The 26,115-nt window shown below is 37.7% G+C and overlaps 2 long non-coding RNA genes across 3 annotated transcripts in view; one reads left to right on the forward strand and one right to left on the reverse strand.

Annotated features, from left to right (window-relative positions):
* Positions 1-26,115, forward strand: part of LOC107986066 (uncharacterized) — a 116,751-nt gene that overhangs the window by 25,068 nt on the left and 65,568 nt on the right. The window lies entirely within an intron of this gene.
* On the reverse strand, positions 12,445-20,828 carry LOC105376981 (uncharacterized). Its single transcript, XR_940639.3, has 3 exons — positions 20,748-20,828; positions 18,169-18,219; positions 12,445-12,509 (listed from the first exon to the last, which is right to left on the reverse strand). It is a non-coding gene; the product is annotated as an uncharacterized LOC105376981 (long non-coding RNA).

Below are 26,115 nucleotides of genomic sequence, written 5' to 3' on the forward strand. Positions count from 1 at the left end.
ATTCTGACCATTGTTTAATAAAGAGACTTTAGCAAAAAAAGAACAGGTAGAACATAATCTCAGAAAGAAAAAAAAAAGACATCCTTTTCCATTAGCTATATTTAGTTTTTAAAAATCATCACATTTATCTCATTTTTCTTCTTTTTCTTCTTTATGCTTTTATCAATTAGATCAGCTAAACTTCAATATACAGTAGTGCTAGTCTATAGACCAAAATCTGGAATGCACAAGCTCACTATTTGTTGTTCTTTAGAGTCCTGGTCAAATTTACCTCTTTCAAGAGATTCTTCTTGATTTCCCATGTAAAAATGAACAGTTGTTTCATCTAAGCTCCTATTCATTATTTTATTTTCATCTGTTTTATTTTGAATTTTATTGATACTACACTTACCTCCATCTCCAGATTGTAAACTCCATGAGGTCAGGAATTCTTACTACTTATTCATTTTTTAAGGAGCACTCCATAAATGCCAGTTGACCAAATGAACCCAAATCTGACAGAAAAATATATGATTTATGCACGAGCTGGTTTTTCCTTCCACGGAGCAATAACTCCTGGTAGGCACATAGAAGGGGGGTTAGGAATGTTAGGAAGGGAAATTGATCATCATGCTGGCAATGGCACAGTGCCTAAAAGGAAGATGTAAATTCTCCAAATTGTTCTCTCTATTTACATATGTGTATTTATATATATGTGTGTATGTGTGTATGTGTGTGTGTGTGTATTGAGGGTTTAACTTCCAATCCCCAGATATGTACACACATATGTAAATATGCACACACACATTACACATATATACATCAAGTTACTGGAACTTTGCTCTAATTAAGAACACAACCTGAAGTTTCAATATGGAGAGGAAAATATGTATTTTTTATTGGCCTTGCTCTTGGTTAACCACTTTTATTTTTCAGATTCTCTTTGCTAAACCTGATTCCTGGTGTGCTATGATACAAAGATCTGTGGCTGTCATGGGGTTGCAGATTTTAGCATTAGAAAGGTGTTAGGAATTTATCTGTCTCAGCTTTCCAAATGTATGGAACAGGAAATTGAGACCTAGGAAGACAAAACATCTAGGTCTTCTGACTTGCCAGCCAGTGCTTTTCCCACTCAAACTATTAAATTGACAGAAGGGAAAATCATGTGGCAATTTGTGCTTTTAAAACAGAGAATTTTTAGAGGCAATCTAATTATTTTTATATTACATTAAGAAAGGAAGAAAGGGAAGAAGAGCGAGGCACCAAAATCAAGAAGGTAAGCTCTTTGGAAAACCTGGTTTTCATCAGCTGGTCATAACCTCTGGAGCAAAGACTGGGCCCAGAGGAATATTCCGGACTGATCTACTCTTGGCAGAAACTGCTTTTTGGGTGAGTAAGCCGCCCACTAGCCTTTTTTTTCTCCCATCATCTAGATAAAAATGAGTGTTTAAAAACTGTGCTAAAATTTTCAAAAACACCTTAAAAAGATTCCATTACTTAAAGTGATTTGGATAATTGTGTTCAATGGTAGCCATTATTTAAAAATATAATTAGTTGCTGAACTCAGAGAAGGAGGGAAATTTCTGCAGGTGTTTCTCATTATTTGCTATGCATACAAAATATCTGCATAAATTACCATTATTATTCCAATGTATACTAAGAGACAATAAAGCATTAGCAAGCAAAGAAGAATGTTGTTGACCCACAGACTGTGAGAGAGAGGCCTGGATGCACAGTAATAGTGTGTTGGCCTTCAGTGCTGTTGCTGCACATGTGCAACCGCATTCAGAATTAAAAGAAACAATTTTGCACCTGTAACAATGTTACATATGGAATGTAACTCCATCAGAAAGATATTTAAAATAGGGAAGGGGGCAGGGAGAAACAACAAAACAACTGGAAAAAAATAAGGCTATAATTGTTTCAAAAGGTTGACACACACTTAAACTAGGTATCTTGGATTTCTTTGAGTTTAAAGCCCTAGTAGAACAGACAACTGAATGTTTTTAAGTATGTGGTGCATTTGCTGTTTTTCTTTCATTATTGTTAGGGTTTGATGGCAATGTTATTGTCAGTATGGTCCAACAGAACTCTCTACAATGATGGAAATATTCCATAGCTGCACAATCCAGCAGTAGCCATTAGCCACATGTGGCTATTGAGCCCCTGAAATGTAACTGGTGCAACTAAGTAATTGATTTTTTACAGTTTAATGTTAATTAATTTAAATATAAATAACCACATCTGGTGGCTAATATAATGGACAGCATAGGGAAGTTAATTGCATTGAGTTGTCCTTGTCAATAAAAATGGTAACTAATATCTTTTGAGTACTTACTACATACCAGGCACCGGGCTAAATATTATCTCATTTAATTAACACCACAACTGTATGAAGTAGGTACTTTTATGCTTGAGAAGACTGAGGTCCGTAGAAATTAAGGTATTTGTCTTGATGTCACCAGACCAGCATATGAAGGGGTCAAGATATAATCTAGGCAGTCTAACTCCAGATTTCTCCCTATGAACTCTTGTTAAGGTGGCATCAAGAAGCAACACACTGTTGAATTTACTCTACTAATCCACAATAAATCAACTTCTGTCAGTCTCTAATATGAAATCAAATGATAAATGAATATGTGTCACATTGGAAGTAAAGATTATCCAGTGATCAATCCAACTCTTACCATTGACAAGAGGGAGGCCCAAAGCAGATGAGTTCAAATGTGTTAGTGCTTAGTAAGCTTAAAACCAAGGTCATTGTAATATATGCAAATGTAGTGAGTATCCCAAACTGCACATCACATAGCAAACACTCAAAAAATGATGTGTGTGCATCTTCCAGGGAAATTTGATACAGCGACCAAAAAGGAAGATTTGGAAGAGATGTTGGGGCCTGATCATTTGGTGATGAAAAGCAAATGAAAAATACTGCCTGGAGGCCAGGTTCAGTGGCTTATGCCTGTAATTCCAGCACTTTGGAAGGCCAAAGTGGGTGGATCACCTGAGCTTAGGAGTTCAAGACTAGCCTGGGCAACATGGTGAAACCCCGTCTCTACTAAAAATGCAAAAAATTAGCCAGGTGTGATGGAGTGCACCTGTGGTCCCAGCTACTTGAGAGGCTAAGATGGGAGGATTGCTTGAGCCTGGAAGGTGGAGGTTGCAGTGAACAGAGATTGAGATTGTGCCAATGCACTCCAAACCAGGTAACAGAGTAAGACCCAGTCTCAAAAAAAAGAAAAGAAAGGAAAAGAAAAGAAAGAAAGAATGAATGAAAGAAAAGAAAAGAAAAATACTGATTGAGAAATGAAAGTAAGCCACTAACAATTTGATACATCATTCTGCTTTTCATTTATAATTCTTGCATGGTATGAGTAACACTCTGCCAATATAGTATCCTCAGCCTCTTATAGTTCAAGAGTTCACAAACTGGTTCATGCTTAAGACCCATCCAAACAAGAGAGTGCTGCTAAGGGATAAGTCAAAGGAGAAAACAAGGCAGAAAATTGGTACATCTTACTTTTAATAACTCCCATATTATAATGGATATTAACAAAAACCTGTTTTAAGTCTTGCTGCCATAGCCTTTAGAATATTCTTAAAATTCATGCAATCTTTGTGGGGGTTCTGTACTTCTACATATATTTTGACTAAAATCGACTAGAATCTTTTGTCCAGATGGTGGAAGAAAACTTTCTTTTTGCCTTAGCTAGGTGCTTTACATATCTTAGGTAGGCAAAATTATTCACATTGGACTTCAGAGAGATTAAGTAATTCACCCAATGACATCCAGCTAGTGAGTGAGAAAATCAAGATGTGAACTCAGATCTATCAAGTTCCAAAAATTGTCACTCTCTACTGCTCTGACCTGCTCCCCACTGCCATATAGTATTGTGTGTGATCTGGGCTTAAAATTATGAATATAGTTGTATTAGTCCATTTTCATGCTGCTGATAAAGACATACCTGAGACTGGGCAATTTACAAAAGAAAAAGGTTTAATGGGACTTACAGAACCACATGGGTGGGGAGGCCTCACAATCATGGCAGAAGGCAAGAAAGAGCAAGTCACATCTTACATGGATGGCAGCAGGCAAAAAAATCTTGAGCAGGGTAACTCCCCTTTTTTTAAAACCATCAGATCTTGTGAGATTCGTTCACCACCACAAGAACAGCACAGGAAACACCTGCCCCTGTAATTCAATCACCTCCCACTGGGTTCCTCCCACAACACTTGGGAATTGGTGGAATTACAAGATGAGATTTGGGTGGGGACAGAGGGCCAAACCATATCATTCCACCTGTGGCCCTTCCCAAATCTCTTATCTTCACATTTCCAAACCAATCATGCCTTTCCCACAGCCCCCCAAAGTTTCAACTCATTTTGGCATTAACTCAAAAGTTCACAGTCCAAAGTCTCAAACATGACAAGGCAAGTCTCTTCCGCCTACAAGCCTATAAAATCAAAAGCAAGTTAGTTACATCCTAGGCACAGTGGGGGTAGAGGCATTGGGTAAACACAGCCATTTCAAATAGAAGAAACTGGCCAAAACCAAGGGGCTACAGGCCCCATGCAAGTTCAAAATCCAACGGGGCAGTCAAATCTCAAAGCTCCAAAATGATCTCCTTTGACTCTGTGTCTCACATCCACATCCCACTGATGCAAGAGGTGGGTTCTCATGGTCTTGGGCAGTTCCACCTCTGTGGCTTTGCAGGGTATAGACCCCCTCCTGGCTGTTTTCATGGGCTAGCATTAAGTGTCTGTGGCTTTTCCAGGTGCACTGTGCAAGCTGTCAGGGGATCTACCATTCTGGAATCTGGAGCATGATGACCCTCTTCTCACAGCTCCACCACGCAGTGCCCCAGTAAGGACTCTGTGTGTGGGGGCTCCCACCCCACATTTTCCTTCTGCACTGCCCTAGCAGAGGTTCTCCATAAGGGTCCTGCCCCTGCAGCAAACTTTTGCCGGGGTATGCAGGCATTTCCATACATCTTCTGAAATCTAGGTGGAGGTTCCCAAACCTCAGTGATTGACTTCTGAGCACCTGCAGGCTCAACACCACATGGAAGCTGCCAAGGCTTGGGGCTTCCGCCCTCTGAAGCAACAGCCCAAGCTGTATGTTGGCCCCTTTTAGTCAACAGCTGAAGCATCTGGGACACAGGTCACCAAGTCCCTAGACTGCGCACAGCAGAGGGATCCTGGGCCTGGCCCACTAAACCATTTTTTCCTCCTAAAACTCTGGGCCTGTGCTGTGAGGGGCTGCCATGAAGACCTCTGACATGCCCTGGAGACATTTTCCCTATTGTCTTAGGGATTCACATTCAGCTCCTCATTACTTATGCAAATTTCTGCAGCCAGCTTGAATTTCTCCTCAGAAAATGGGATTTTCTTTTTATCAAATTGTCAGGCTACAAATGTTTCAAACTTTTATACTGTTTCCCTTTTAAAACTGAATGTTTTTAACAGCACCCAAGTCACCTCTTGAATGCTTTGCTGCTTAGAAATTTTTTCCACCAGATACCCTAAATCATTGCTCTCAAGTTCAAAGTTCCGCAAATCTCTAGGTCAGGGGCAAAATTCTGCCACTCTCTTTGCTAAAACATAGCTAGAGTCATCTTTACTCCATTTCCCAACAAGTTCCTCATCTCCATGTGAGACCATTTCAGCCTTGATTTCATTGTCCATATCATTATCAGCATTTTGTTCAAAGCCGTTCAAGTCTCTAGGAGGTTCCAAACTTTCCCACATTTTCCTTTCTTCTTCTGAGCCCTCCAAACTCTTCCAACCTTTGCCTGTTACCCAGTTCCAAAGTCACTTCCACATTTTTGGGTATATTTTCAGCAGTGCCCCACTCTACTGGTACCAATTTACTACATTAGTCTGTTTTAATGCTGTATGTCATAAAGATATACCTGAGACTGGGCAATTTACAAAAGAGCAAGGTTTAACTAGACTTACAATTCCACGTGGCTGGGGAAGCCTCACAATCATGGTGTAAGGCGAAGAGGAGCAAGTCACATCTTACATGCATGGCGGCAGGCAAAGAGAGCTTGCCCAGGGTAACTCCCATTTTTTAAAACCATCAGATCTTGTAAGGCTCATTCACCACCACAAGAACAGCACAGGAAAGAACCCACCACCCCCACAAAAAGAATTCAATCTCCTCCCACTGCGTTCCTCCCACAACATGTGGGAATTGTGGAAGTTACAAGATGAGATTTGGGTGGGGACACAGAGCCAAACCATATCAATAATCCAGTCTCATTTTTGGTGTTCCACAAAATCAGATCTTCAAAGATACAAACCAATTCATCAGATTTGCGTGACAACATGCCTCAAAATCCTTGCTGATTCTGTTCCTTCCGAACTAAATGAAACTTCACACTCTTTTCCTGCCCCCAGCCTGTGCCATCTCCCACAAAAGTTTCCTAATTTCTAATTCTTCACAGGAATTTTACTGCGCACCTGCCCCAACTGCTTTTTAGGATCAAAACTAATTACCCCTCCCTTGAGCTCTCACAGCCATTCCTCTGTGTTTGCATCCATTACACTGTATTATGGTTGCTATTTAAGTGCCTGTGTTCTCCACTTCACCACTCAAAGGTGTATTTTACCCCCTGCTCCCTTTTTGCGTGTGCGTCTTCAGTAACTGACTAAGTGTCTGCACATAATAAATGCCTAAATATTTGTTGAATTCAAATGAACTAAATAAAAACAAGCAAGTTCACCAAAACTCCTCCAAATATGAATTAAACCAGGGTATATATTCTTTTCACACTAATATATTGCTATTGAATGAGCTAGTTATAACAATGATCTCTTCATGATTGTATTTACATACTATTTTATAACAGTTTTGTTCTGACTTTGTTTCTGAACAAAACTATGAGCCCTTTAAAGTTATTATTTATATTAGTATAGCGCATATGTTAAGAGCACAGACTCAAATTCACAAGTGAATAGTGCTCAGGTCTTAATTTAACAAGGTGTCTGATGGATGACATGGAGACATCAATGCCACTGAAAGAAATGTTTAATGTCATTCACACTTTGAGAAGCAAGAGGCATGGCATACCATGCAGGGCATACCATGCAGGGCCACAGGAAGAGGCAGCAGATTTGGACAGGAGACAGAAACAGGGCTGTAGGGGAAGCCTAGGCCAGACGTTTTATCGGGGTTTCTGTAGGAAAGGCAAGGTGGAGTAGAATAACCTGTTCAGGATTGACTAGTTTGAATAATCCCGATGGGCTTTGGGCTATAGGAGTGGTCTCTATTGCCTGGTATCTGGCCCTGGAATAATTTAGGTCAGGGGAAATATTGGCTTGGTGTATGAGGCTACATAAAGCAGGTGGATGGAGATTAGTTGGTTTGGGTATGAAAGGTGGGCTCATGGCCTAGCCCTTTGTTGTCTCTAAAGATTGGCTCATCCTTGGAAGGAAGACTTCCCTGACCACTAAGATTTTTAAGATTTCAAAACATTATAAGGTACAGAAAATGAAAAACATGATTAATACAATGACCTTGAACAAGTTGCTCAACCTCTCTGTCTCATTTTCCTCATCTGTAAAATGGGGATAATAATTACAGCATCATAGGGTTGTGGTGAGGATCAAATGAATTAATATATATAAGACAAATAGAACAGTATATGACATATAAAAATGATGTAAAAATTAGCAATAATATCTGTCACTACAACACCTCCTAAAATGCATCCCACAAGATAGGAGGTGCTTGAAAAGCACTGAATGAATGAATGTAGGAATAAATGAACAAGTCCTCAGGATTGCACACCTTGGTGTTAAGCAACCAACATTTTCAATTTCTTAGAAACAGAAAAATAATTTATAGGTAAAGCTTGTACTGGAGTGAAAAGATGAACTGAATCTAGAGAAGGAATAAGATTCTCACTAACTAAAGCTTTTGCTGCTGTTTTCCTATAGTGCATCTTTTAGTCCATCTATCTCTGTCTCAATATTTAAGGCAGGCATTTGTCTTTCAGGTTTCTTTTGGCATTACTGCAGTTATCAAATGAAACATAATTTCCTCCATCCATAACCCAGTGAAGTTTAGTTGGACTTGATATCACTCCCAATTTTAAAAAGAAAATTTGCATCTTCAGACATCAGCAGCATGAGGCAACCTAAGAAATAAGTGTGCATTAGGCCTCTAAATAGACTTTTCCTTTATTATCTGTATGTAGCATCTACCTAATGGAAAATGAAGCAACAGCATCCATCTCCTTCTACTGGCATTACAATTTCAAGGAATCCAGTGAACTGTCCTTGTTACAAGCATAGGATCTAGTACCATTCTTTACTTCTAATGAACCCAGAATTTCAGATGCATAGATCTTTAGAACTGGAGAACTGGATATTTTTCCACCCTCTGGATTTCCAAAGAAGAAAACAGATTCCAAGGCCCCATCTGCCATATCTTGTCAACAGTCCTGGAAAAAGGACTCATTTCTATGTATTTAGGACACCCAGAATAATGTCTTATTTTTTGAAATCAGTATGGTATCCAAATGAAGGCAGCCATTTTACTAGTATTAATACAAAAAACTTACTTCAGTGAACAATGAGGACTTGAAATATCTATCTACTATATCCCCAATGCCAACAGCGTGGAAGAGATAATCTATGTTACAACATGGATAAGTAACTATTCTTATTCATAGGTACAAATAGCTGTGTTGGAAACAGCATTGGCTGGAGATTTTGGTGGCCCAAATCTGCCAGCCTCTAGGTATGAGACTTTATGTAAACTATTTAAATACTCAAGGTCTCTGTTTTCTTATCTGTAAAATGAGGGGATTAAATCAGATGTTAAAGATCTAACATTTCCTGATTTTATGAGAGGATTTATAATCAAACTTTATGCTACTAATTACCTACAGGTCACTTAAGTAGGTCTGATTATCAACACTAATTCACATGGACTTAATATAGAATTAACCAGACCACATGATAACCTCATAAACATACTCTTTATACACTTTTAATCTTTTGGGGTTATTTCCTATAACCAGACGTCCAATTTAAAAATGAGTTGAGTTATAGGTCTTTATATAGCATTCATTTCTACACACTTGAAATAGAAAATGTTAGCTATTTAATCAGTCAGGTTCATAATTTAGTTTGTAAACTCAGAGACCATATCTGGGTTTTACATAATATTGATTACATGATCAGGGCTCATTAAAGGATAATAATTTAAAAATCACTTCTAAGTGTTAGCTTTTTCTAGCTAATTTCCTTTCCATGTGAATGCTTCATGTTTTAATATATCACCCTTTTCTCTTATTTATTTATTTATTTGCTCTAGAAAACCAGTGAGAATTAATCTAGAATGATGACAAAATTAATGGGAATTGAAATGAAAGTATAATCTTATTGGAATTTCATTTCTGATGACATAATAATAGGCTTATATAGCACCTTTCATCTATGGACCTCTAAGCACTTTACAAACATTAGTTAATTCGCACAACAATCCTGTGAGGTTGGCAATTATAATCAGCCCCATTATGTAAATCAGGGAAGTGCAATACAGGGAGGTTAAGTTCCTCAGGCAACAGGGAAGACAGTGGCAGAGCCAGCATCAGACCACGAGCATCCAGATGCTTACAACCGCACACCCAAAGAACCTTGTGGAAAGCCTACCATCTTGGTTGGTTGCCAAGAAAAGACCTCTTTCCAAAAGAAAAAAAATCCCAAAGAAATGTCTAATCTTACCATTTTTTTCAGTATTCCACACTGGAGGTGAAAGAACTAGAAGGGTAGGGCAGTATAAAGGAGACTTGCCTCGAAATGTACTCTGTCAAGCATTTTCTCAGCAGGCCAAGACTCCAGCCAAAAGGCTATGTGCTATCCCTTTTTTTCACCAGCAAAATTTGAAGGAAAAAATAACCCAAATGCTAATGTGAACATTGTTTATAATAGCAGAAATTATTCATTGAGTGTTTAATGGTTGATGGGCATTGTATTAAGATGGTTTATATATGTCACCTCATTTAATCTTTATAGTAACCTATATGTAAGCATATTAATTATTGCTGTGTAACAAAGCACCCTAACACCCAGGACTTAAAAAATACATTTATTTTGTTCTCTCTGTGGGTCATTGGGGGGGTTGGTGATGTAGGCTGGACTTGACCTCAAGCTGAAGGTTGGATCCAGTTCTGCTCAACAAGCCTCTCCTACTCCTTAGACATCAGGGTAGCTGGAGCATTTTTTCTCATGATAAGCATGTTTTAAACTGTTACTGCATCACATCTGCTGATATCCCACTAGCTGTGCAAGTTCAAGGCCAAAGCCAAAATATGAAGTACTTCCTGCCCAGGATGAGGTCAACGCAGATGCATGGCTAAACCCAATGTCGATGGAATAGGAAAGTTTATTCCTGATATAAAGTTGGTAGAAACAGTGAATATTTTTGAATAATTGAACGTACCATTATAGCTATTCTTCTTTTACTTCTTTTTGTTTGTTTGTTTTTTGAGACAGGGTATCACTCTGTTGCCCAGGATGGAGTGCAGTGGCATGATCATGGCTCACTGCAGCCTCTCTCTACTTCTTGGCCTTAAGCAATCCTCCCACTTCAGCCTCCCAAAGGGCTGAGATTGCAGGCAGGAGCCACCACACCCAGTCTTGCAGCTATTCTTGTTCCATTTTACAGATGAGAAAGCAAGCTGGAAGCAGGGAAGCCTTGAGAATTTGAATGTCCGTATGTCTCCCAGCCCTGCTCTGACTGCTGTTTCTCTTTCAACAGCAAGTGTATTATAGGTTGCCTTCTCATTCCTCAGATTATCCACTCAGAAGTGACATAAACCCACCTTCTCTTCTTCACTGGCGACTGATGATTTAAATTACAGGGCCAAGGACTTCTATATCCTGGTTATGGCTTAAGCAGGGGCTAAATAGTCCTTTTTGCTTCTGTGCCTTCAGTTCCACATGGAACCAAGAAGCACTGAGCCCTCCTCAAACCTTCAACACCAGTGCATTTAAGCCATTAAACCGTCCTGCTGCATTTCGAAGAATGGATGCTGACAATTCACAGAAAGAACCCTTTAGCTTTTGGATGTATGAATTAATCATTCCAGTTAACTAGATACAAAGTTCACCTAAGGTCTCTGAACTTCTGAAGATAAATATTAAACACATCCGACTTACTCAGTAGAAACAATGCAAATTACCAACAGTCCCTGGGTCAAGGATGTGAGAGACAATAAGAAGTTCAAATAAATCAGACCATAAGGGGCAGGCAAGAATTTTATTACTGATGTGAATACTGCACATCATCCACATACAGTTCTCTCCTGCCAGTATCAGCAGGGCCACCAGAAAGTGTGAGATGGGCTGGCACAATTTTTATACTTTTGTCAGCTGCTACATCTTTCAACTCTATTTTTAAGATGTAGAATTATGAACACAAGAAAGGAGAACGGCCTACAACTTTATTAGTGTATGCCTACCAGTTTAAAAGGAGTTAATAATATTTAACACCTATAAAACTATGCAATGGATAGAAGTTGTGGCATTACAACATTTGCTTTTCAAATTCCATTTTGCAGAGTGTAAGAATTCCTTGGCAGGGCTACAGGAGCAGCTGCAGGAGAAAAAAGAGAGGCAGAGGTACAGTGCCTTTGGTCTCCCCTTATTCTACTGGAGCAGCTGCATTTTTATCTGCTTTATCAATTGAATTTCATGTACAATTACACTGGAATAAAAGCATTCTGCTGTTTTAAAAATGGTTTTAAACCATTGGTTTTGATCATGTCTTTCTCTGCTATATTATCCATTTTTCTATACCCAACAACTGTGCTTATCTTGAACATGGCCTTAACATTTATTTATTTAAATTTTGGCTCTTTGCGTATCAGCAAAGAATGGTATTCTCTTTGCCATGTTTTTAGCCTTTTTCAAAACATGCCACATTTTGTTTTGATTGCTTTAATCTTTTTGTTCTCTTCTCCTTATGTTCAGCATCAAAATTGCTATTTTACTCCTAGCCTGGGGACAGGCATATTTGATACCATTTCAAATAAATAATCTAACTGGAGATTGGAGAGAAAAACAATGTGATCTCTGAGGTCTGGGAATGGTTGTGTTATATTTAATTTATGCAAAACCTTCTGTATCACACTCTCTATAGGATTTTCTTTGAATTCCTGACCACTACCTTTCAGATAGTGGAGTTTTGTGGAGCACATGGCAATGATCAGTATAACCCAAAGGGTTCTTTCCAGTCACTTCCACTCTCCATCTCTTTTTTTGAAGTGTCACGTATGGATGAGCTGAGAGACCACAGGCACACTTGGGCTGCTCTCTGAAAGCCAGAGCTGCTTCATATCTATTTATATGCGGACATGGTGAGACCTCGGACAAACATAGCAACTCTTCATTGAAAATGTCTCAGTTCTCTTTTTTAATGCAATATTCCAACCCTCCCCTTTCTCTTACCATTAAGGGTACTGCCTCACATTGCACTATCCCTCAGCTTCTTGGTCCTCTGAACTGTGCTAACACTGTAACGGAGAGAGAAGAACAAATTTAATCTCCAGTGATATCAAGTAACTCCTGTGTCTTTGGCACCATTGCTGGTGGAAATTTCTGATCTATTTAAATTACTGTGATTTTAGATTTCAAGAAAAACTCCTCACTGATCTTTCCTAAATGTTCTCTTTTTTTATTTTTTAATTTATTTATTATACTTTAAGTTCTGGGATACATGTGTGGAATGTGCAGTTTTGTTACATAGATATACACGTGCCATGGTGGTTTGCTGCACCCATCAACCCATCATCTACATTAGGTATTTCTCCTAATGCTATCCCTCTGCTAGCCCCCTACCCCCTGACAGGCCCCGGTGTGTGATGTTCCCCTCCCTGTCTCTTGTGTTCTCATTGTTCAATTCCCACTTGTGAGTGAGAACATGCCATGTTTGGTTTCTGTTCCTGTGTTAGTTTGCTGAGAACGATGGTTTCCAGCTTCATCCATGTCACTGCAAAGGACATGAATCCTTCTTCTTTATGACTGCATAGTATTCCATGATGTATATATGCCACATTTTCTTAATCCAGTCTATCATTGATGGGCATTTGAGTTGGTTCCAAGTCTTTGGTATTGTGAACAGTGCTGTAATAAACATATGTGTGCATGTGTCTTTATAGTGGAATGATTTATAATCCTTTGAATATATACCCAGTAATGGGATTGCTGGGTTAAATGGTATTTCTGGTTCTAGATCCTTGAGGAATCACCACAATGTCTTCCACAATGGTTGAACTAATTTACACTTCCACCAACTCTATAAAAACGTTTCTATTTCTCCACATCCTCTCTAGCATCTGTTGTTTCCTGACTTTTTAATGATAGCCATTCTAACTGGTGTGAAATGGTATCTCATTGTGGTTTTGATTTGCATTTCTTTTAGCCAAGACAATCCTAAGCAAAAAGAACAAACCTGGAGGCATCATGCTAACTGACTTCAAACTACACTACAAGGCTACAGTAACCAAAACAGCATGGTACTGGTACCAAAACACAGACATAGACCAATAGACCAGAACAGAGGCCTCAGAAATAACACCACACATCTACAACCATTTGATCTTTGACAAACCTCACAAAAGCAAGCAATAAGGAAAGGACTCCCTATTTAATAAATGGTGTTGGGAAAACTGGCTAGCCATATGCAGAAAACTGAAAGTGGATCACTTTCTTACACCTTAACAAAAATTAACTCAAGATGGATTAAAGACTTGAATGCAAGACCTAAAACCATAAAAACCCTAGAAGAAAACCTAGGCAATACCACTCAGGGAATAGGCATGGGCAAAGACTTCATAACTAAAACATGAAAAGCAATGGCAACAAAAGCCAAAATTGACAAATGGGATCTAATTAAACTAAAAAGTTTCTGCAGAGCAAAAGAAACTGTAATCAAAGTAAACGGGCAACCTACAGAATGGGAGGAAATTTTTGCAACCTATCCATCTGACAAAAGGCGAATGTCCAGAATCTACAAAGAACTTAAAGAAATTTACAAGAAAAAAACCAACAACCCCACCAAAAAGTGGGCAAAGGATATGAACAGACACTTCTCAAAAGAAGGCATTTATGTGGCCAACAAACATATGAAAAAAAACTCATCATCTCTAAATGTTCTTTATATTGGCAATCACTTTCAAATAAAACCCATGATAATTCTTAGTCACATTTTGGGGTTATTGATGAAAACTAGTTGTAATATTCATTATGAATCAGTACTAGTATTCAAAATGGGAGGGGTATATTGATTTCTATGAAATAAAACATATTTCCCTTCCCTGTAACACAAAGGTAGGCCCAGTTGAGATCCTAATAATCTTTTAAGTTCTTCCACCAGCACTGTAGTATGGGTTAGTGTGCAAATTCTGATTCTGAGAAATACCAGTTACTTAAGTCTTTGTAGTCAATGTTCCCAGTATCCCACCCATAACTTCTTTGGAATTAACACTTTTGGGCACCTAGCACTACTAACTGTTGTCCCCTGTCAATCTTTGTCTAAATGTTTCTTCTGGTGACTGGATAACATGTTCAAATGTACAGTAGGCTGAAAGTACAGATAATTAGCACCCTTTGGGAATAGCACCAGCCTATAACTGATAGGAGTTTGGGGTATGCATATTCCATTTCTGTAACACCTCAGTGAGATAACTCTGAGGGTCATGCTTCTACACTAGCTTCTAGGATTCTCCAGTGGTATTAAGCTCCAGTTGTCCACAGTGATAGTTGTCTCATCATTTTTCTGTTCTCCTTCCTTCCCTGACTCACTTTCCACATTTCCTGCTGGCATCTTCTGCAATCAGCTCCCAAGTAAATTACTTGAACTCAGACCCTTTGTTTAGGATTTGCTTCTTGGGTAACTCAAACTAAAATACTATTCTAAGCCTCAAATTCATCACTGGTAAGGGAGTGGCATGATAATAACTCTCCCAAAGGCTTGTAAAGATTAAATAAAACAGTATCTTTATACTCTTACCATTTCTATGGCCACGAAGTAGGCATTTAATAAATTATACTAATCCATAGTATGTATCCTCCCATCTTACCTGTATATACCTCTATTACCTGATTCCCTACCACTGTATTCCTTACTCTTTCCAATGAGGACACAGTAGTCTTCTTGCTCTTTCTCAAACATGCCAAGCACACTTCTCCTTCAGAGTCTTTACACCCTCAGTGTCCTCTTCCAGATATCTGCATGACTTTCTACATTACTTCTTTTTAAACCTTGCTGAAATGTGATCTGATCAATAAGAATTTCCCTGATCATCACATACAAAGTAGTACTTCCTATAATATCTCAGTGCCCTCCTTGCCCCACTTTATTTTTCTCCATTATAGTCATCATTGTCCGCTAGATCAGAAACACCATAATGGCAGGAGCCATGTTTGTTTTGTTTCTTGCTCCATCTCCAGCACCTATAAAAGGACTGGGCACATAGTAAGAGAAAAAATAATACTTGTTGAATGAATAATCTTCATAAAATCCTAAATTTTAAAAGTTCTTTTAAGTGTAAAAATACTTAAAGATATACTGATTAGGATAATCTTACCAGATTATGCCAACGGTGTGTGGGAGCTGGCTTATATATGCTCAAAATAGTGAATTAAATATTCAGCAATTTTCTTGACCAGTTGTTAAAGTGTTGCAGCTTGAAATTGGCCATGATGAAAATGTTTACACCATGGAAATTAGTAAACGCTATATATGAAGACTTTATTTGGGAAGGGGGAACCTGTTTGTCACCACACTACTGATGACAGCTAAAATTCTGTAGCAAACAGAATTTTAAAAGAAAAGTGCTTTTAGGCTAGAACATAGCTTTGGAGTAGGGATAAAGGATAACATTATTGAACACTGATATCATCCTTAGGGCCTTATGTTGAGCTTTATGTATGAGAGATAGTGCAGAATTATCCCCCAGGCAGATTTAATAAGATTTTCTTCTATGTTACATTGCACCATGCATACATTTCTACTACAGTTCATATGACATGAATTTTTCATTGTTAATATATAAACAGTTGGCTCTATGAGGACAAGACACTGTTCATCTTAATAATCCCTGGAGACTAACGAAATTTGCCCACACAGCAGGCTGGTGGATGTTTGAACCACACAGTGGTAAGAGTCAGGATTATGATGACTGACACAAAAAGTAAGGCCATATATAACTGACCCCATAATGCTTCCTTTCATAGTATCTTAAATAATGAAGTTGAGCCTAACCTCACCTTGAATTTGCAGTCACTTCTATTAAAATGATGAAAACATACTGGTTTCTTAGAGAATAAGGTGAGCACGGTGTTTGAGTTTGCTTAGGACTTTTCCACTGTTAGCCCAGAAAGTCCCACATTCAAGGCAAACCCAGATGGCTTGTCATCCTACTTAGAAAACAAAGGCAAGAGGGTGAGAGCTGTGAGTGGGAGTGGTAATTAAAAGGTGAAAGCTGATCAAAATTGAGATGGGAGTAGCCTTCTGACCAGGAAGTGAGGGATCCCAAGAGAATGTAAATTTTACTTTCATGGGAATTCTGAATGATATAGGATAGGTTGTTACACTTACCTCGAGGACACAGAAAGTCAAATTGACTATATTAATGGTAAAGAAAAGAGTAACTCCAGAGGGTTGGGGATTTGGAAACATAGAGATCCTGGTGTTGCCAGCTTAAACTAATTTCTATAATTGTGGCAAATGCTGAGAAATTCAGGGCTTACTAAGAACGTATAACAAAGCTACCTCTCTGGAAGCATCTGCAAAGTCCTCCTTGAAGACAAGGTCCTGGCTATGTTGAATTTGAAGTCTTCCAAGCAGATTCATTTTCTAGCATCACTGACATAAAGTAGTGACTTCTAATGAGTACAATTAATAGAGACTTTTTGTGACTGCACAAAGAACTTGGGAACTAGTGTGAGAATTACTATAATTCTGATTTTAGCTGCTTCAAACAATCTTTAATAGGCCTTTTCTCCTTCTATGAGGCTATCCCATCCTCAAAATGTGCCAGACTTTAATCTCTCTACTTCATTTCTACTCAGCTTTGTCTAAAGATAAAATTTTGACATAAATCAATTCTACTTAATGTATTATCTAGTTAGAGAGTCGATTCTCCCAGATACAGTCACATCACGTGAAGGAGTGATGATAATGCTGGATCACTTCAGCCGTCAGTGTAAGGTGTTGGGACATACAATTTTGACTGCAGGAATCTCAAGATCTCTCCTGAGTAAAGCCAGTTTCCAGAATGAACAAGAAAAAACTGATCTCTAACTATATGTACCACATTTCTCAGAATCCCACTGAATTCCTTTACCTAGACAGCTTGTTGTCCATGTGGGAAAATATACCATGCAACTTTTTCAATTATACAGAAGACAACTTTCTCCAGCATGTCAATAAAATTCAGTGTTACTGGCTTCATATTCCCACTAATGTATTGTAATCATATACTTGCTATTTCTGATTAGCAGTAATATCATTGCAGCTTATTAGGTCAAAAGACCACTAAGAGAAGTTCTCTACCAAAATAGAATGTCTGAAAGGCATTTTTGAAATTCATTTTAGGAATGAGGTCATTGAAAAAACAGGTTGCAATGAAGACTATAAAGCAGTCACTTGTTCTTTGGTAAAAACTTTCATACATTCTGAACTGAATAAATCTAACTTATTTTAAATATTATATTGTTTTAAAAAATAATAAACTGTCAAGTCCTGCTATTATCACTGTATGATCTTAGGCAAGAAACTGGAACCATAAAAGAAGTATCTGTAAACAGCATATGTGGCAGCATTCCAAAGGGCAGTCCTCTCTCACACTTTGGTTTACATGTGTATATCTTATTTTTCCCCAGCATAACTGTAACCACCTTGAGGCAGAACCTCTTTACTCCCCCAAGGACAATCTGCACCAGAATGCACACAGTAGAAGTCTAATATATATCTGTAAGATATAAAGCTAAATCATTGATTGTAGGTTACTCATTATGCTGTTCTAATCTTCATTACACTTTATGATGTATAAAACAGGAATATAGTTTATCAGCTATAATCTATTTTTTGAGGCTCGGAATGATTTTTGAGATCAAATAGGGCAGTGGAAAGAATTGCTGAGTTTGAATACAGCCTCTACCACTTACTTGCTGTGAGATTTGGACAAATTCCTTATTTCTCTGCTTCAGTTTCTTCATCTGTAAATAAAGACAAGAGTATCTATGATCAAGTAATTATGAAGAGTAAATGAGTTAATAAATAAAAAGGGCTTAGAATTGAGTTTGGTATAATAGCAAGTACTTTATGATTTTTTTTCTCTTTTTTTAATATATATATTTTTTATTATACTTTAAGTTTTAGGGTACATGTGCACATTGTGCAGGTTAGTTACATATGTATACATGTGCCATGCTGGTGCACTGCACCCACTAACTCATCATCTAGCATTAGGTATATCTCCCAATGCTATCCCTCCCTCCTCCCCCCACCCCACAACAGTCCCCAGAGTGTGAGGTTCCCCTTCCTGTGTCCATGTGTTCTCATTGTTCAATTCCCACCTATGAGTGAGAATATGCGGTGTTTGGTTTTTTGTTCTTGCGATAGTTTACTGAGAATGATGATTTCCAATTTCAACCATGTCCCTACAAAGGACATGAACTCATCCTTTTTTATGGCTGCATAGTATTCCATGGTGTATATGTGCCACATTTTCTTAATCCAGTCTATCATTGTTGGACATTTGTGTTGGTTCCAAGTCTTTGCTATTGTGAATAATGCCGCAATAAACATATGTGTGCAGGTGTCTTTATAGCAGCATGATTTATAGTCCTTTGGGTATATACCCAGTAATGGGATGGCTGGGTCAAATGGTATTTCCAGTTCTAGATCCCTGAGGAATCGCCACACTGACTTCCACAATGGTTGAACTAGTTTACAGTCCCACCAACAGTGTAAAAGTGTTCCTATTTCTCCACATCCTCTCCAGCACCTGTTGTTTCCTGACTTTTTAATGATTGCCATTCTAACTGGTGTGAGATGGTATCTCATTGTGGTTTTGATTTGCATTTCTCTGATGGCCAGTGATGGTGAGCATTTTTTCATGTGTTTTTTGGCTGCATAAATGTCTTCTTTTGAGAAGTGTCTGTTCATGTCCTTCGCCCACTTTTTGATGGGGTTGTTTGTTTTTTTCTTGTAAATTTGTTTGAGTTCATTGTAGATTCTGGATATTAGCCCTTTGTCAGATGAGTAGGTTGCGAAAATTTTCTCCCATTTTGTGGGTTGCCTGTTCACTCTGATGGTAGTTTCTTTTGCTGTGCAGAAGCTCTTTAGTTTAATTAGATCCCATTTCATTCAAATAAATTTATAAAATCATATGATTTACAGAATTGATCTGTAAAAAATCACTATATCTACTTTCTTTCTGCCCAAGCTATTACTAAATCCATGGTATACCTTACAATCAATGATATCTAAAAAACAAACAAACAAACAAACAAAGAAATAGAGTTGCTAAAGAAAAGCAAAAGAAGACACAACGAGAAAAATGAGTAAGGAAAATGGAGTCAGAGAAGTGAGATGAAGTGATAAGTTGCACAGAAACCAAACTCAAAACCTGGCCCATTGCTGTCCTCTGGTTACCAGATTTTGAAAATAATACTGATCTTATAATTTTACTTGGATAAGAGGACAAAGTAGCTGATAAGAACTGAGCATTATTTCAGGTATAGTTATTTAGTCGTGTCCTGACATATAGGGCTGGTTGAAAGGATTTGTTCACTTTTCCCCATAGCTCCTCCTTTCCGATGTTTGCTTTTCACTGGGGTGGTTGGGGAGGAAGTTGTGGCAACAACTAGGAATGTGAGAATTTCTGACGGTCTCCTTGTCCTTTACCTAGAAACATCATTATAAATATCATGATCATAATATTTAAATCGATGAATGGAAAGCCTATAAAACTTGGTGGAAAACAACATAGGGTGCCTTTTTATTTCATATTGACACGATTCAAGCTTTAGCCTAAGAATGCATATATAAAAATAAGCAACTTTTCTTTTAAAAACTATGATGTCTTCACATTTCATTTCAGGGTCTCATTTGAAATAGTTTTCTACCCAGCTTCTTAAATGATGCTTTATAGAAAACTGGTTCCATGAAATATTTGTTGTTTTATATTTTTATGTCTTTTCCTCTCATGGCTAATGCCGTTTTTTTAAAAAGTTCAATGGTCAAAGAAGTAAGGAAAACATTGAGTTAACCAAAATTTAACAAATGTCTTTTTGATAGGAATTTTCAGAATCTTCATTATGCCAACAAGCATCATCCATCTTTTAGAAGAAGATACCATAGGCAGTTTTTGCCAAATGTATTAGATCATGTAACATTTATAGCATTTTTTTCCATGATGCATTGTGATGGTTGATGGACATGCTTTAGGAAGAACATTATGAAGGGCTGACTTAATGCAATGATGCAATGCATTTGTTTAACATTCTGTATTTTTCAAAAAAACAAAACCCTTTCACATATATAGTAATAATTCTTCATCACAACAGTCCCTGGGAGACAACAGAAAAATAATTAATATAGCCATTTTATGGATCTCATAAACAGAAGCCTTAAAGGTTGAATTATTTTCTCAATGTCATATCATATGACATAGAGGACTTAGGTCTCTTGATTCTATGCCTTATCCTATTGAACGTCTTATTCAGGATATATTTCTTACCATTGTAGTCTTACACCAGCTCTCATCTATCTGCTGCAAACCCAGTGAGGAGTTATGACATCTGAGGGCACGTAGTACTCTGGGTCTCGGTCCCTGGGTTAAACTGGAAAGGGATATTTCTGAGAAGCCAGTAGCGATTGGAGACAGCTATGAAGCAACCATAAGAGAAGTTAGAGCAGGCCTTCTGATACTGATTGACAAGAGACTGGTATGGGGCTGGAAACTGGAGCTATGATAATCAGGTTATGGCTTAGGAGGTGATAAATAAGAGCCATGTTGGCCAAAACTCTGTCTTATTAGTTGTTGGCCACAAGGCCTGTAAGTAGATCATCATATAATGTCACAATCTGCTAATATGATGCAGGGTGGACCTTCTGCTTATCAGCTCCCAGGTCTGGAAGGTCAAGAATCGCTGAGTGAGGCCAAAAGAAAGAAATCATGGTGCTAACTACTTTGACTTCCATTTGGAGCTTTAAAGGTAGAAGACATTTTTGGTGATGGTACTTGGTTTAGCCCAGCACATCAAGATAAAAAACAACAACAACAAGAAAAAACAGACTTGGAATTCAACACCAAACACCATTATTATAGGCAATCCACTGCTATGGTTTGGATGTGGTTTGTTCCTGTCAAAATTCATATTGAAGTTTTATTGCCAGTGTAGCAGTATTGAAGGTGGGGCCTAGTCAGAGGTGTTTGAGTCACGGGGGTGTATCCCTATGAATAGGTTAAGGTCTTCTTGAAAAGTGAGCTCTTGCTGTCACAGATATGGACTAGTTCCCACAAGAGTAATTTGTTTTAAAGCAAGTTTCCTTTACCTATTTGGCCCCTTCTTCACATCCACTCCCCTGTTGACCTTCTGTCATGCTATGATGCAGCATGAAAGCCTCTCTAGAAATCAGCACCATGCTCTTGAACTTCCCAGCATGCAGAGCCATGAGTTAAATAAAACTATTTTCTTCATAAATTACCCAGCCTCCGGTATTCTGTTTTAACAATACTAACCAGACTAAAGCATCCACCTTCTCATCATTCAAGTCTCCAAAGCTGAAAGGAATGTGCAAAGTTAAGTACAAACCACAGCTTCCCAGGGAAGAGAACTCTATTCAGCCAAAAGTCAGTTAATCTCATAATGTGTTTTTGTGTGCTAAGTGGTATTTCACTATAAAAGTTGTCTAAGCAGCACACGCTGAATTGTCACCAGCCTCCAGAGCTGTAGGAAAAGAAAATGATCGCTTATGTATCTTGGTGGCTTATCAGGGAACATGGAAGAATTAATGTATTTATTCTTTCTTCTGAGATTAAATGTAATTGCTTTAAAAAGATAATCATGCTATTGTTTGAATTGTATGCATTTCTTATGAAGCACTAATACATTTTCCTGTAGTCTGACAAAGTGTGTGGTCTCTTATCCTCATTTCCCTGTGGATAAATACTTTGTTAATTAATAAAGTATTATATGAGCACTTAGTGTCTGCATTTAACTGTGCAAGGATTTCATTCAGATTATGTTAATAGATTGTTCACATTATTCCTTGCATTAATTACAACTTCTTTCTGTGGTTTCATCATAAGAGCATTGTCATTGTGAATACAGGGGACTTTTTGGATTATATTCTTGTTTGACTGCTGAAGTAATGCTAGGAAAATATTATTATATTGAGCACTACTCTCGAGGACTTGGCAAAAAGCAAAAACAGATTCAATTATTCTCAAATCTTAGAAAGAACACAATTAGTTACAGCCTGGCCTACCTGAATCAAAATCAAGCAATTTGGGAATTTCTCTATTACCTACAGTATCTTAGAAAAAATTTATAAAATTAGTATTTCATATCATGATACCTTAGGCATAATTATCAGGAAAAAAAAGGTTTCCTCCTAGTAATTGGTAAATGTGGAATTCAAATTAAGCAAATATGAAGCATGGGCATAAATCTTAGGCCACATGTGTGCAAGAAATTTCACTTTCTTTTTCTCAAATCAACTTAATTCTGATTCATCTCACCTTATCTAAATAAGCTCTAGATATCTGCTGTGCTGGTGGGAAACTTAATCAGAGGTATGTGGACCACGCCCTCCACCCAGTGTTATGCAAAGGTTCCCAGGTCTTAGGTAATATCTGGAAATGAGGAAGCCCCTGGGTCATCAGCTATCAGTCTGTCATGGTTACTACTGAGGCACAGCAGGCCTAGTGCTCAGGCTGCCTTCAGGTCTACCTGTGCTCCATTTCTACTTGAGCTGTTTGATGTACTTTGGAAGGCTGGGGATCTCTATGTCCACCCTGGGGATAAACCTCCCCAAGCCATATCTCAAGGAAATCATACACTCACCAGTCTGCAGGCAGAGTACTACCACAAGGAAATATGCCAGTCCTCACCCTACCATTCTCCTCCTCCATCTCTTTTTCTTTCCTGGGAAATATTTTTCTTCTTCATCCCTGTTGCTCTGATAGTCACTTCCTCTGTCTCTAGTCCTCATAAGCAATCTTAGCATTTATCTTTTTAGGCTTTTCCTAGCCAGGCGGAAACTGAGGATTCATCTCAGAGGTCTATCTGCAAAAGTGTCAGCTATGTGCTTAGAATACAGGTGTGGGGAAGAAATATACAGGGCAAACCCTATAAATTATCTTGAAACAAATCCTAGAACATAAACTATTTTCCAAAGACATGCAATTTTACTAAAAAAATAAACTTTACAAAACACAGTTCTGATGTTACTATTTCAGATAAAATGAGAAATGATTTGTAAAAATAAAACTAACCAGTTTGAATTCAGAATTTATAAAAGCCCACATTTGGTGTTTTATATGGGAATGTGATAAAACATTAACATTTGATGTTTTGTCTATTTGTTTATAAAAATGATTGTTATTTTCATTTTATTTCCTAAATATTCTCATGAAGTGTAACTGTAGAAACTAAGAAGCAGGTTTTCTTTCCTCCCTTTTTATGCTCACCCCATAGTCATTCTGGCCTCTAGAGTCTTCCTGTTCCAACTCCTTCCAGATGTACCCAGCTCCACACGCAGTTTTTCTCACTCATGACCACCTCCTGCCCTCTGTACCAAGACTTCTCCCATATGTAGGGCTGCAGATTTAGCAAATACAAATACAGGACAACAATTAACTTTGAAGTTTACATAAACAATGAAGAAATTTTTAGTATAAGTATGTTTCAAATATTGCATGGGACATACTTATAGAAGAAAAAATTTCATTGTTATCTGAATTTCAAAGTTAACTGTGCATTCTGTATTTTATCTGGCCATTCTACTTACATTCCCAGGTCACTATCTCCCTTTTCTCCAACCTTTCCCACCTCCTATCACAGAATATTGTTCCATGTGACTAATCAATGGGTATGAAGTTTTAATTAAGCAAAATAAATAAGCTCTAGATATCTGCTGTACTGCATTCAACCTACAGTCAGCAATAATATATTATACACTTAAAACTTTATTAAGAAGATTATCTTACCACAATAAAACAAAATTAGAAAAAGAAAAGGCATTGTAGTAAATATGAAAGAAACTTCAAAGAAGAGGTACTTTGATTGAACACCCCATAATCTTCGATGAATTTCTCAATCTGTTCTCTTAGACCCTGAACGGTCTTAGAAATAGGAAACTGGCCTCAAAAAGTATAATCTAACAGCCTCAGAATTCCACACTTATGGTGGAAACAGAATCAAGATAAAGAGTTACAATTTAAGTCAGAGGACTTCTTGTGATGTAAGATAGAAAACTTGAACAGTTTATAATAATCAGGCATTCTGAAATCATAAAATAAAAGGAAAAAATCACACTGCAGTTGGAAAAAAAGAAAAGGAGACTATTTTTTTTTTTAACTTGATAGCACTAGAGTTAGAAAAGTAAGCTGATAGAGTGGTTCTCTTTAGAAACCATCCATTTGGAATATGACGACCCTTGTCGTAAAGAGAGGAGTGGCTGGGGAGGCAAAGCCCATTAAAGTTGGCAGTTGTGCTTTGTCAACCATTTAGTGTGGTTGAAGCAAAGGTAAAGTAGCAAGGATTGTTCCTGCAGGAAAACATATTTAAGCTTATAGGCCAGGTTTTACAAGTAAGAGTGCAAGGACAAGAAAAGTAGAGGTTTTATTTCAGGGCAAAATAAGAAATGCGCAGGATATGGTCCTTCTGGTTCAACAAAGTCTCCAAGATGCTTTCAAGTTGAACATGTTTCTGAGCATTGCAAGGATAGCTCATAAATGGTTATTCTTAAGCTGTTGCTTATTAAATCAAATCTGAATCTGGCAAAGTAACAGCAGAAGCCAGGGGAAAGCCAGTAGATGATGCATTAATGCGGCCTTGAAAATTATTTTCAAGTCTTACTCAGCAACACAATTTGGTTACATCCTGCTTCATGTGGAATGATTTCATTCCTTTGTTGGTTTTTTTTTAACAGTCGGCCTTCTACAATAGCTATTTAAATTAAGCATTAAATTTATCAAAAGTGTATTCTTTACTGTAATTAATTCTAAAAGATAGAAGAATACCATCTTCTTCTGCAAATACAGAGTGAGCACCTATGGAATTCAACAATATTTATGAAGAAAGAAATTGTATTTATACAGGAGGGGAAAAAAAAGCAGTAGACTGAGGCAGATCTATGTTTAAAACACAGCTCATTTACTAGCTGTGTGGCTTTGGATGGATCCATTAACCTCTCCGAATTTCTTTCCTTAATTATAACAGGCACTAATAATGCCTGCATACATGAGAGTTATGAATTAAAAATAATATGTGTAAAGTGTTTCACACACAATAATAGCGACAATCTAATGAGGCCTATTAAGATATCCTGAGGCTCATAAAGGAGAATTGCTGAGACCTCTTGAATAACATTTCTGAAAATGTGTTGGGAAAACATTAGTCCCTACTGATGGGTCTGCTATTATCAAATCTGGGAAATGTGTTTTATAGGCTTCTATTAGAAATTAGTAAAGACTCTGAGAAGCTCTGCAACTAAGAAATCTGCTTCAGTTCAACACTGAGTTTTCCAGGCCTAAGAATTCTGCAACCTTTTATTAGGCATCAACAGGAATTCCAGTCTTGGGTGAACTTTGCCCCTGACATCAAAAAAGAAAGCCGATTCGTTACAGTTTGTTCAGCTGAGGATGTGTTTCTTACTATGTTATTTTGACATTGTTACCTTTCTTTTTCACTGATTTTTTAACCTCCAGTTTTAACTCATGAAAAGAAATTTGGAGGAAATGTCATTTATTAAAAGTATACCCTTTGTCAGATAGATAGATTGCAAAAATTTTCTCCCATTCTGTAGGTTGCCTGTTCACTCTGATGATAGTTTCTTTTGCCGAACCAGAAGTGCTTTAGTTTAATTAGACCCCATTT

The sequence above is a fragment of the Homo sapiens genome, chromosome 3, assembly GCF_000001405.40.
Source record: "Homo sapiens chromosome 3, GRCh38.p14 Primary Assembly".
NCBI classification, from domain to species: Eukaryota; Metazoa; Chordata; class Mammalia; order Primates; family Hominidae; genus Homo; species Homo sapiens.